This window comes from Homo sapiens, chromosome 4 (assembly GCF_000001405.40).
Source record: "Homo sapiens chromosome 4, GRCh38.p14 Primary Assembly".
Classification (NCBI taxonomy): Eukaryota; Metazoa; Chordata; class Mammalia; order Primates; family Hominidae; genus Homo; species Homo sapiens.
This window is the reverse complement of record NC_000004.12, coordinates 43,083,181-43,097,874: the sequence shown is the minus strand read 5'-3', so window position 1 is coordinate 43,097,874 and position 14,694 is coordinate 43,083,181.

Genomic DNA, 14,694 nt, shown 5'->3' with positions numbered 1-14,694 from the left:
CCATCTTGAATTAATTTTTGTATAAGGTGTAAGGAAGGGATCCAGTTTCAGCTTTCTACATATGGCTAGCCAGTTTTCCCAGCACCATTTATTAAATAGGGAATCCTTTCCCCATTGCATGTTTTTCTCAGGTTTGTCAAAGATCAGATAGTTGTAGATATGCGGTGTTATTTCTGAGGGCTCTGTTCTGTTCCATTGATCTATATCTCTGTTTTGGTATCAGTATCATGCTGTTTTGGTTACTGTAGCCTTGTAGTATAGTTTGAAGTCAGGTAGTGTGATGCCTCCGGCTTTGTTCTTTTGGCTTAGGATTGACTTGGCAATGTGGGCTCTTTTTTGGTTCCATATGAACTTTAAAGTAGTTTTTTCCAATTCTGTGAAGAAAGGCATTGGTAGCTTGATGGGGATGGCATTGAATCTATAAATTACCTTGGGCAGTATGGCCATTTTCACGATATTGATTCTTCCTACCCATGAGCATGGAATGTTCTTCCATTTGTTTGTATCCTCTTTTATTTCCTTGAGCAGTGGTTTGTAGTTCTCCTTGAAGAGGTCCTTCATGTCCCTTGTAAGTTGGATTCCTAAGTATTTTATTCTCTTTGAAGCAATTGTGAATGGGAGTTCACTCATGATTTGGCTCTCTGTTTGTCTGTTATTGGTGTATAAGAATGCTTGTGATTTTTGTACATTGATTTTGTATCCTGAGACTTTGCTGAAGTTGCTTATCAGCTTAAGGAGATTTTGGGCTGAGACAATGGGGTTTTCTAGATATACAATCATGTCGTCTGCAAACAGGAACAATTTGACTTCCTCTTTTCCTAATAGAATACCCTTTATTTCCTTCTCCTGCCTAATTGCCCTGGCCAGAACTTCCAACACTATGTTGAATAGGAGTGGTGAGAGAGGGCATCCCTGTCTTGTGCCAGTTTTCAAAGGGAATGCTTCCAGTTTTTGCCCATTCAGTATGATATTGGCTGTGGGTTTGTCATAGATAGCTCTTATTATTTTCAGATACATCCCATCAATACCTAATTTATTGAGAGTTTTTAGCATGAAGTGTTGTTGAATTTTGTCAAAGGCCTTTTCTGCATCTATTGAGATAATCATGTGGTTTTTGTCTTTGGCTCTGTTTATATGCTGGATTACATTTATTGATTTGCATATATTGAACCAGCCTTGCATCCCAGGGATGAAGCCCCCTTGATCATGGTGGATAAGCTTTTTGATGTGCTGCTGGATTCGGTTTGCCAGTATTTTATTGAGGATTTTTGCATCAATGTTCATCAAGGATATTGGTCTAAAATTCTCTTTTTTGGTTGTGTCTCTGCCCGGCTTTGGTATCAGGATGATGCTGGCCTCATAAAATGAGTTAGGGAGGATTCCCTCTTTTTCTATTGATTGGAATAGTTTCAGAAGGAATGGTACCAGTTCCTCCTTGTACCTCTGGTAGAATTCAGCTGTGAATCCATCTGGTCCTGGACTCTTTTTGGTTGGTAAGCTGTTGATTATTGCCACAATTTCAGCTCCTGTTATTGGTCTATTCAGAGATTCAACTTCTTCCTGGTTTAGTCTTGGGAGAGTGTCTGTGTCAAGGAATTTATCCATTTCTTCTAGATTTTCTAGTTTATTTGAGTAGAGGTGTTTGTAGTATTCTCTGATGGTAGTTTGTTTTTCTGTGGGATTGGTGGTGATATCCCCTTTATCATTTTTTATGGTGTCTATTTGATTCTTCTCTCTTTTTTTCTTTATTAGTCTTGCTAGCGGTCTATCAATTTTGTTGATCCTTTCAAAAAACCAGCTCCTGCTGGATTCATTAATTTTTTGAAGGATTTTTTGTGTCTCTATTTTCTTCAGTTCTGCTCTGATTTTAGTTATTTCTTGCCTTCTGCTAGCTTTTGAATGTGTTTGCTCTTGCTTTTCTAGTTCTTTTAATTGTGATGTTAGGGTGTCAATTTTGGATCTTTCCTGCTTTCTCTTGTGGGCATTTAGTGCTATAAATTTCCCTCTACACACTGCTTTGAATGTGTCCCAGAGATTCGGGTATGTTGTGTCTTTGTTCTCGCTGGTTTCAAAGAACATCTTTATTTCTGCCTTCATTTCGTTATGTACCCAGTAGTCATTCAGGAGCAGGTTGTTCAGTTTCCATGTAATTGTATGGTTTTGAGTGAGTTTCTTAATCCTGAGTTCTAGTTTGAATGCACTGTGGTCTGAGAGACAGTTTGTTATAATTTCTGTTCTTTTACATTTGCTGTGGAGAGCTTTACTTCCAACTATGTGGTCAATTTTGGAATAGGTGTGGTGTGGTGCTGAAAAAAATGTATATTCTGTTGATTTGGGGTGGAGAGTTCTGTAGATGTCTATTAGGTCCACTTGGTGCAGAGCTGAGTTCAATTCCTGGGTATCCTTGTTACCTTTCTGTCTCGTTGATCTGTCTGATGTTGACAGTGGGGTGTTAAAGTCTCCCATTATTATTGTGTGCGAGTTTAAGTCTCTTTGTAGGTCACTCAGGACTTGCTTTATGAATCTGGGTGCTCCTGTATTGGGTGCATATATATTTAGGATAGTCAGCTCTTCCTGTTGAATTGATTCCTTTAGCATTATGTAATGGCCTTCTTTGTCTCTTTTGATCTTTGTTGGTTTAAAGTCTGTTTTTTCAGAGACTAGGATTGCAACCCCTGCCTTTTTTTGTTTTCCATTTGCTTGGTAGATCTTCCTCCATCCTTTTATTTTGAGCCTGTGTGTGTCTCTGCATGTGAGATGGGTTTCCTGAATACAGCACACTGATGGGTCTTGACTCTTTATCCAATTTGCCAGTCTGTGTCTTTTAATTGGAGCATTTAGTCCATTTACATTTAAAGTTAATGTTGTTATGTGTGAATTTGATCCTGTCATTATGATGTTAGCTGGTTATTTTGCTCATTAGTTAATGCAGTTTCTTCCTAATCTCGATGGTCTTTACATTTTGGCATGATTTTGCAGCGGCTGGTACTGGTTGTGCCTTTCCATGTTTAGTGCTTCCTTCAGGATCTCTTTTAGGGCAGGCCTGGTGGTGACAAAATCTCTCAGCATTTGCTTGTCTGTAAAGTATTTTATTTCTCCTTCACTTATGAAGCTTAGTTTGGTTGGATATGACATTCTGGGTTGAAAATTCTTTTCTTTAAGAATGTTGAATATTGGCCCCCACTGTCTTCTGGCTTGTAGAGTTTCTGCTGAGAGATCTGCTGTTAGTCTGATGGGCTTCCCTTTGTGGGTAACTCGACCTTTCTCTCTGGCTCCCCTTAACATTTTTTCCTTCATTTCAACTTTGGTGAATCTGACAATTGTGTGTCCTGGAGTTGCTCTTCTCGAGAAGTATGTTTGTGGCATTCTCTGTATTTCCTGAATTTGAAAGTTGGCCTGCCTTGCTAGATTGGGGAAGTTCTCCTGGATAATATCCTGCAGAGTGTTTTCCAACTTGGTTCCATTCTCCCCATCACTTTCAGGTACACCAATCAGATGCATATTTGGTCTTTTCACATAGTCCCATATTTCTTGGAGGCTTTGTTCGTTTCTTTTTATTCTTTTTTCTCTAAACTTCCCTTCTCACTTCATTTCATTCATTTCATCTTCCATCACTGATACCCTTTCTTCCAGTTGATCGCATCAGGTCCTGAGGCTTCTGCATTCTTCACGTAGTTCTCGAGCCTTGGCTTTCAGCTCCATCAGCTCCTTTAAGCACTTGTCTGTATTGGTTATTCTAGTTATACATTCGTCTAAATTTTTTTCAAAGTTTTCAACTTCTTTGCCTTTGGTTTGAATTTCCTCCTGTAGCTCGGAGTAGTTTGATTGTCTGAAGCCTTCTTCTCTCAACTCGTCAAAGTCATTCTCCATCCAGCTTTGTTCCATTGCTGGTGAGGAACTGCGTTCCTTTGGAGGAAGAGAGGCATTCTGCTTTTTAGAGTTTCCAGTTTTTCTGCTTTGTTTTTTCCCCATCTTTGTGGTTTTATCTACTTTTGGTCTTTGATGATGGTGATATACAGATGGGTTTTTGGTGTGGATGTCCTTTCTGTTTGTTAGTTTTCCTTCTAACAGACAGGACCCTCAGCTGCAGGTCTGTTGGAGTTTGCTAGAGGTCCACTCCAGACCTGTTTGCCTGGGTATCAGCAGCGGTGTCTGCAGTACCACGGATTTTCGTGATCCGTGAATGCTGCTGTCTGATCGTTCCTCTGGAAGTTTTGTCTCAAAGGAGTACCCGGCTGCGTAAGGTGTCAGTCTGCCCCTACTGGGGGGTGCCTCCCAGTTAGGCTGCTCAGGGGTCAGGGGTCAGGGACCCACTTGAGGAGGCAGTCTGCCTGTTCTCAGATCTCCAGCTGCGTGCTGGGAAAACCACTGCTCTCCTCAAAGCTGTCAGACAGGGGCATTTAAGTCTGCAGAGGTTACTGCTGTCTTTTTGTTTGTCTGTGCCCTGCCCCCAGAGGTGGAGCCTACAGAGGCAGGCAGGCCTCCTTGAGCTGTGGTGGGCTCCACCCAGTTCGAGCTTCCCGGCTGCTTTGTTTACCTAAGCGAGCCTGGGCAATGGCGGACGCCCCTCCCCCAGCCTTGCTGCCGCCTTGCAGTTTGATCTCAGACTGCTGTGCTAGAAATCAGTGAGACTCCGTGGGCATAGGACCCTCTGAGCCAGGTGCAGGATATAATCTCCTGGTGTGCCATTTCCTGAGCCCATCGGAAAAGCACAGTATTCGGGTGGGAGTGGCCCAATTTTCCAGGTGCCATCTGTCACCCCTTTCCTTGACCAGGAAAGGGAACTCCCTGACCCCTTGCGCTTCCCGAGTGAGGCAATGCCTCACCCTGCTTCGGCTGGTGCACAGTGCATTGCACCCACTGTCGTGAGCCCACTGTCTGGCACTCCCTAGTGAGATGAACCCGGTACCTCAGATGGAAATGCAGAAATCACCCATCTTCTGCGTGGCTCAGGCTGGGAGCTATAGACCGGAGCTGTTCCTGTTCGGCCATCTTGGCTCCTCCCCCTAAAGTGATTTCTTTACTTTGGTTTGACATTGACCATTATAATTCTATTTTGTATGATATTTAGAGATAGACTATACTCTTAACATTTTGTTAATTGTCAAGCATGACTTTACAAAAAAAACAGGCCTGTGAGAGTTAATTACCCAAGTCTTTTACATGAAGTATATGTTTGCAAAAATATACCACTAGTGGAACAATCTTATAAATTGAAGGCACACACACAGACACACACACACAAGACTTTCCACTTACTTTGAATTCTGTTCAAGCACAACAGATTGCCAAATTCCATAGAAAAAAAATAATAAACCCAATCTTCCTTTGCAAGCATGATACATTTCATCTTAACCAAACATATTTCAAAGTTTCAGCCTTTAGACGCAAAGAATTACTGGAAAATTCAAAATTAAATATAATACATGAGAATTTAAGAAAAAAAAGCCTCTTTCTGCTATTTCCTCATTCTGAAGCTGAACACTCAGTCAGAACTCAGCATGAAGGCAACATGAATGCCTCCCTTAGGATTCTTGCCTTTCCCAAACATAGAAACCAAATGTGACCTGTAATGTGATGCTGAAGTGAAAAAGAATAATCGTCAATAGATATTTTCAGATTTAGAGTTTAGCATGCCTTGTTCTGTAAAAAATGGTTTCATATATATATCACATTTTACACATGACATAGTTTTATATATTATATATAAAATTTTATGTTTTTCTTTTCAAAAAACTGCAAAAATTTGAGATAAAATACATTATAGGTCATGTACATAAACTTTAGGAATACTTATATGAATACACAGTGTCTTTTTTATTATCAGAAACAGCAATCAGTGTTAGGAAATACATTTTAATATCTCTTGATGCTGAAAGCAGGATGACATTAAGGATGTTTTTTATTGGCTGAAAATTTACTGAATTTCTTATTATTCTTTCCTTCCTCCTCTCTCATTTTTTCCAACTTCTCTTTATTCTTATTTTAAGTATGCTTTGTAATGTTATGGCAAGAGTAGGGATTTTGGAGTCAGGGACATTCAGATGCAAATCTCAGATTCTCCACTTCTTATCTGGGACAATTACATACTTCTTTGAAAGTTTTATTTCCTCCCTTGCAAAATATGTGTAATGCTATCTCTTCCACAGAAATTTTTAGAAAAAATATATTCAATTCCTTTCAATATGCGCACTCAGTATATCTTAGTACCCTCTACTTCATACCCTTTTCTCCCTGCTACCTTCAGTATTTAACATAAAAGCCAACAAGTGCCATACACACCATTATCTGTGTTAATTTTCCCTCTTGTAAGCTTGGATTGCCTTTTTATAAATATATCCATTTGAAGAATTAGAGGAAAATATGAATATGCAAATTTGTAATTCTATTTTATTTCTGTTTATTCCTTTATATCTCTACCTCCAGCTAATTTTAATTTAAACAACCATTTAGAAGGTCTATAGAATTCTCCTTCTTTTTTTTTTTTTTTTTTTTTTGAGACGGAGTCTTGCTCTGCCACCCATGCTGGAGTGCAGTGGCATGATCTCTGCTCACTGCAAGCTCTGCCTCCTGGGTTCATGCTATTCTCCTGCCTCAGCCTCCTGACTAGCTGGGACTACAGGTGCCCACTACCACGCCTGGCTAATTTTTTGTATTTTTAGTAGAGACGAGGTTTCACCATGTTAGCCAGGATGGTCTCAATCTCCTGACCTCGTGATCTGCCCGCCTCGGCCTCCCAAAGTGCTGGGATTACAGGCATGAGCCACCACGCCTGGCCTCCCTTTTTTACTTACTCCTCCAATCCATGCATAGTAAGCCTCTCTTACCCTCACCACCACCCACACAACTTAGTAGGAAATGCACAGCCAGACATGGGAAGATAAAAAAGAGATATAGATAAGGGAATTTGTAAGCCTGACAGGAGAGTCAAGGCTTTTGCTCCAAAAGACCTGTAGGATGAGCCACTAATTAGAAAGGCCATTTACTTGGAGCAAGTAACAGGTTGTCATAGGTGAAATTCTGGTAATTCTATTAGAATAACATGTGTGTTGTCAATTATAGACAGCTAACTCCCTGGAGATGCTAAAGCCTGAAAACGAGGCAAATTATAAATATTCAGCATGAATATTGCTCAGGAGGTGAAAGCCAATATTTGAAAGACATGTTCTCATTTTACTGACTTTTGTTCCATTGTGATAGAAAAATCCTACTCTAGACTGATTATTTATGCAAGTCCCTAAACTTCAATGAAACATAAGCAGGATATATTTCCACATGCCTATACCATCCATAGCTCTAAGTTCCTAAGTTATCTCAAAGGGGATGGTTTAGCCAGTTGCCAATTGCCATACATTACTTGTTTTTGTTGCACAGGTATAACTTAGAATCCTACTTTTTATACCACTTAGATATTATGGGGTGCTTTCTAATAAACATTTTAACTTTTCCATTGAAGTATTTCATTTGATATCAAGCCAGGCACTTTTAAAAGTATATATTTTTACTAATAATGCAAGAAAAGGCATGGTTGGAGAGAGGGGTGGGGGATTAAGGAACTGGGGAAGATACTCTTTGCTGTTACTCCCAGGAAGGGTAACAGGCCTTGATGTTTTCAAAATACAGGCTTTCTTTGTGAATCCACTAAAATTCATTGTTTTAGAAATTAAATGATTGTGAGAGTGAGAGAAGATATAAAATAAACCTTTCATGTTTCAAGAAGTTAAAAACAAATTACCTAAACCCCTGGCATAAAACTGACCCACTTCTTGCCTCCCACGATTGGGAAGGTCTCAGTCTCTGCTGGTTTTACCAGGTGAGCAATTTAAACAACTCTGGGGCCAGGACGCCTGAGGTGTGTGGTTTTGAAGGGAAAGGGCTGTTGGGGGTGCTGCCAGGAGAGACTCAGAGCTGAGTCATGGGGACACAGCCAGAAAATTCAGAGGAAACATGGCTATTTATGACATCTCCTTCTTTGGACATAGAATCCAGGAAGGAGACTTGATTACACTCTACAGCACTAGTGCCAGACAGACTGGGCAGAATTGGATTAGCTGGTGTTGGGACAGCTAGACTAGAAGATACCAAGTGCAGTGGAGAACTGAGGAATTCTAGGGCTTTTTCCTGCTGGAAAGGGAAGTCAGGTGGATCTCCCTTTTGGATTATATAGGCCCCTTGAGATTTTAATCATTACAGAATGGAGAGCCAGGGGAGGGTGATACTTCTTGCCAAACAGGTAAGGACACAGAGTTGATTCTAGCTTAATGTGAAAATTAAAAGGATCATTGAAACATTACCAGTACCCTGATTATCATGGAATATTGTATATCTGTTGTTTTTAATTAACCTCAATGACCATTAGTTAGTTTTTTCAGCTTTCACAGGAGTAGTAAATAAAAAATCTCTTTTGATCTATAATACCACTTTTGCTGTCAAACTGCGTAGTGATGGGGGACGTACAGTAAATTTGAATTATCACTCAAGCGGCTGTTTCCAAATTACCCAACTTTCTTCACAATATTATATATCTCAGCTCTATTTCCACTCCATTTGCAAAACTGCATAATTGTTTGAGGTTTGTGAACAAATTGCTACATAATACCACGGAAAAATCATGTGTTGTCATCATGGCTATACTATTTGCAATTATGCTTTAATCTGTCTTGATTCTTTGCTGTCTGATCAAAGTGTGACCTTGTCATCCAAATGGCTGGATAGTTCTTGGCAGAGCCATGAGCGGTAAAAGACAGAAGTGTATATATAAAACATTTTATATATATACACACATACACGTGCACACACATATCTTTACACTATACAAACATATATGTCTATATGTTTCTACCTTTCTGCTGAGTCTTATGTAGGTTTTGAGTTTTAAAACTGATATAACTAATACAATGAATTAGCAAGGTATTTGGAAAATATTCAGAAAGCAATACTATTCTTTATCTTAAATTGTCCATCCAAGCTTGGCAGGTTCTTTCTCTGAGTCCGGGAGAAATTTTAGTCAGATTTCCTATAATCTCTAACAGCTTTGATAAATAATGGGCATACAGTAGACTGCATATACTTAAAGCACATAATGTGATAAGCTGTAACATCAAATATATAAGTATGTACTTTCAAACCCATTATTTCAATTAAGGTGGTAAATCTCCACCAAAAGTTTTATCATGCCCCATTTTAATTTCTCTCACCCACCCTTTTCATTCTCCATCCCGAAGCAATCACTGATCTGCTTCTCTCACTATGTTAAGTTTTCTAGAACAGTATATAAATGAAATCATACAACATGTAATTTTGTTTGTCATATATCTTTCATTCCACACAATTATTTTGAGATTCATCCATGTTGTAGTGTGTATTCGTATTTCATTCCTTTTTATTGTTGAGTAGTATTTCATTTTAAGGATATACTATAATTTTGTAAAACCAGTTACCTGTTGATGGGCATTTGTGCTGTTTCCAGATTTTCACTAAAATTACTATGAATATTCAAGTACAATATTTTATATGCACATATATTTTATAGCTTTGGGTAAGACAAAGATTTTTTACATATAAAACTAAAAACAATCTACAGAAGAACGAATTAAAAATGTTTGCTTTTTAAAAAAACACCGTAAAGAACATGTAAAAGCAAGACAAAGACTAGGAGAAAATATCTGCAAATCATATACATGATAAATGGCTTATTTGCAGAATATATTTTTTCAATCACAAAACTCAATAATAAAACAAAATAAAAATTGGGAAAAGATTTGAATAGACACATTATCAAAGAAGGCTTAAGGGTGGCAAATAAGCATATGAAAATTTGGCAAATACTATTAGTTATTAGGGAAATTCAGAGCAAAACCTCAGAGAGATACCACCACATACTTACTTACTGAAAGTAAAGACTGATCATACCAAGTATTGGAGAGATTGTAGAATGAGAACTCTCATATAATGCTGGAGGGAATTTAACATTGTTATGATCACTTTGGAAAACAATTAGATCATTTCTTAAAATGTATCATTCCCACAGTTTTACTCCTGATATTTACTCAAGAGAAATGAAATAATAAGTCTGCAACATTTTTTTCACTCTCAGGTAATAAAAGTTCATCTAGCCATATTTAGTCATCAAAAGTTTTTATCACTCTCAGGTAATAAAAGTTCCTCTAGCCATATTTAGTCATCAAAATAATCTTTTTATGCTGAGTAAAATTTCCATTTTCACATAGTAATGGAAACTCTAAACTACAGTCAAAATCAAAGCTTCTTCTCTCCCCAAGCTCAGCCTTGCTTAAAGTTGATAGCCTGAAGAGGAAAAGGGTTGCATGACTAACCTCTTCTTAGTCCCTCTTCAGCCATCAAATCCTTCATCCCTACATCACTAGCTGAGAGTTCTGTTCCTTCTGAGGGACTGGCCCAGGAGAAAAACATACCAGGATCTCATATGACAGTATCAGAATAATATGGTTTCCTTTGGTTTAGGTCGAACTGACCTTTTCCTTTTTTTTAAGAGATTATTTGTGGGCTTCAGGGAGATATTCCTTCCATACCACTTCCAGTTGCTGAAATGTCTTGTTGCAGATCCCTGACATCTCTGGCAGGATACTTGTGACTCCTCATCAGATTTGGGAAACCAGATACCATGCCCCTATACATATTCTTCATGGACTAGCTCTCTCATCCATGGGGCTCATATCTCATCCTCAGAAAGTACTAATGCATGGTTCAGCTTAAGTAACTCTGGGAGTCAAGGTTATTGCCAAAATGACAACCTCTTCTCAGAACTGGACACAGTGTCTCAAGATGATGGCTCACAGAAAAGTTTTCTGTAACCCCTGACCTCCAGGGACACAGTTCAAGCTCTCCAAGGCCTTAAGGTGAATGGAATATACCACTAATTTTTCCTCCGTGGGAATTGGCATCAGGACTCTTAGTGCCCTTTTTAAATGTGTTGATGTTAGAGTGTGAAGAAATACTTCTATTTTCCAAACAACAATAACTTCAGCAACTTGAACTCTTTTGACCTTAAAAGGACATGCAGAACTATTTATCACAAAACTGATTTTTGAGCATGTCTTTATAACCCTATTTCATTATGCTCACACCTTACTTTAGAATGCAGAAGTGCTTGCCATATATATATATACACATATATTCATACCTATATTCATACATACATATATGAAAAATTATATAATATATATACACACATACATATATATATGTATACACACATACCTATATCTATGTGTGTGTATAGATACATATATATGAGAAAAGAAATTCTCTTGGGACCAGAAATGGAGATGCAGCTCTAAAAGAAAGAAGCCAACCAGAGGTACAGCTCTAAACAAAAGTAACCTCCATGGATCTGAAGCTGACTCTGCACTAAAGCAGTGAGGAGATCTTTTCTTTAAAAAGAAGAATAATGAAGACATAAAGCACTTGAGAATCCCAAAATATGTGAGGAAATTCAACACCAGCACGTTCCCAGCTAAGGTGGAACAAGGTGACACTTCGACTTCTTGTTTCAATTCTCATACCGTGAACAACTGTCATGGTCTATATAGTGCCATGTTTTTCACACTTTTGTACTTTTTGTTGGTGATTCCCTTGCCTAAAATGGCCCTTAAGCATAATGCTGAAGTGTTGGCTAGCATTCCTAAGAACAAGAGGACTGTGATGTGCCTTTCAGGGAAAATAGGTGTGCTACATGCAATTCTTTCAGGCGTAAATTATAATGCTGTTGGCTCTGAGTTCAATGTGAATCAATCAATAAGACATCTTAAGTAATGTTTGCTTAAACAGAAATATACATAAAACAAGCTTGGGTATTCATCAGTTGATGAAAATGCTGTGACCAGAGGCTTACAGGCACCTAACCTTGTATTTCTCCTAGAAGCAATGGTTCAATAACTCTTAAGTCAGTGTTCCCGGAGCCATTATAGCATATAATTGCTGTGAATAACAAGAGTCAACTGTAAATAAGTAAATAAATAGCAACCATATTAGAAAGAAAAACATGAAACTCCTTATTCACAGACAAATCAGCTCTACCTAGAAAATCCTATAAAAATGGTACTAGAATGTATTAGTATGTTTAGAGAGTTCATGAGATAGTTAATACACAAAAATAAATTGCATTTCCACATAAAAAATCAAGCAATCAGAAACTGAAATTTTTGAAAAAAAATAACAGCACAAAAATATATATATTGCTTATGGATGACCTAACAGAAGAAGTGAAACACCTGTACACAAATACAAAGTATTGCTGAGAGAAATTAAAGACCTATATAAATACAGAGACATATATGTTTATGGAATAGAAAACACAATATAGTAAAGAAATCAATTATCTCCAGACTTATCTAAAGTATCAATGTAATCTCAACCAAAATTCTATCAGAGACTTTTGTAGAATTGACCAGCTGACTCAAATTCACAAGGGAATTCATTAGAACTTAAAATAGCCAAAAATATCTTTAAGTATCTGTGTCAAAAACTTTGGTTCTCAGAACCTCATTTTTCTTATCTGTAGAATGGTAATACAATACATTCCCCATGAGAGCTGTTTGTTGAAGATTCAATGAAAGATGTATGCAGAAACAATTTTCTACAAAAAAAAAGCAGTTTTGATCTGTAATCATGAGTACAACAATAATAAGCTATGATAGTCCATCCTTTAAAGGTAAAAAAGAATACTCCTGAGATCCACATGTGCTCATATCATTTTCATTTCTAACCAAATTACAGAATACTTAAAAAAGAATAAAAGGTGACTTTTACCTGAGAGAGTTCAGTAACAAAGCAAATTATAATATGTAAACTTCAGAGTCATTTTAAGTATAATGAGCAGAATAGACAAAAAGAAGATATGTGGTTGGTTGTTACACTATGGGGCAAAAATGTTCTTGAGCAAAATGTCACAGAGATACAGAATCTCACTAATTAGAATGAATTAGTATTGGTAAGGCTCCCATCAAATAGATTTAAGACTGGCTGACATGTAATCAACGAAGAGTAATGATAAATGATGGTGTGCTGAGTTGGGGTGATGTGATTAATAGAATCTACAGAAGTCCAGGCTGCCTTTTATTTGGCTTAATACTTTCCTGAGTGAATTCAAGAAGAAGTTTTTTCAATCACATCAATTTAAATGAAGAAGAAATAGTGGAGATGATGGACGTTTTAAACCCAAGGGAAGTCAAGCAAAAGATAATATTACTTCCTCAAGCTCTTACAGGGCTATTTACAAAGGGCTCCTGCATTCTATTATTTAACCCTCTTACTGACATAATGAGTTAGGCAAAACAGGTATTAACCCCCATTATATAGTTGAAGAACCTAAATTCAGAAAGCCCAGGCTGCCTGTCCAAGTTCATATCACTAGTAAATTTCAGAACTGGGACTATAGTGAGTCTCTGCAATATTTTCATCTGCTCAGAATTTATTATGTATTCTGAAAATAATACTCTTATTTTGGGGGGGAGCTACCATCCCTCTCTCTTCCATCCTATTTTCTTTACTCAACAGTCATGTAATTTTATTTTAGCAAATTAAAATAGAAGATTAATGAAAAAGAAGCAATATGTTTATAGCTAAAAAATTTACCTCCGTAACAAAACTACACTTGTACTCCCTCAATCCATCATGTGGTTTTAATATGACAAATACCATTCACAGGTCTCAGGGCATGTGTTAGAACTCCAACTAGATTTATTAGGGGAAACAAACATCTATTTTTTAAATATATCTAAAAATATGTCTAACCAAGGAGGTGAAACGTATCTACAAGGAGAACTACAAAATACTGCTGAAAGGAATCATAGATGGCACAAATGATAAAACATTCTGTGGTCATGAATTGGAAGAATCAATATCAATACAATGGCCACACTTCCCAAAGCAATCTGTAGATTCAATGCTATTTCTATCAAACTACCAATATCATTTTTTACAGGATTAGAAAAAAACTATTCCAAATTTCATTTGAAACCAAAAACAGCCTGAAAGGCCAAGGAAATCCTAAGCAAAAAGGATCAGCTGGAGACATCACATTACCTAATTTCAAACTATACTAGAAGGCTAGAGTAACCAAAATGGCATGGCACTGGTACAAAAACAGACACCTAGACAAATGGAACAGAATAGAAAACTCAGAAATAAAGTCACACACTTATGGCCATTTGATCTTCAACAAAAATTAGGAATGAGGGAAATAAATGGTGCTGAGATAACTGGCTAGCCATATGCAGAAGATTGAAACTGGACCCCTACTTTTCACAATATACAAAAATTAACTCAAATCGGATTAACAATTTAGATCTAAGACCTAAATCTATAGGAATCCTGGAGGAAAACTCAGGAAACACCATTCTGGACATTAGCCTTGGCAAATAATTTATGGCTGAGTCCTCAAAAGCAATTGCAACAAAAACATTGATAAGGGGGTACCTAATTAAACTGAAAAGCTTCTGCACAGGAAAGCAAACTATCAACAAACAGACAACCTACAGAATGGGAGAAATATTTGAAAATTATGCATCTGTAAAGGTCTAATATCCAAAATCTATAAGAAACAACAATTCAACAAGCATAAAACAAATAATTTCATTAAAAATTTAGCAAAAGACCAGACACTTCTCAAAAGAAGACATACCAGCAGCCAACAAACATATGAAAAAAATGCTC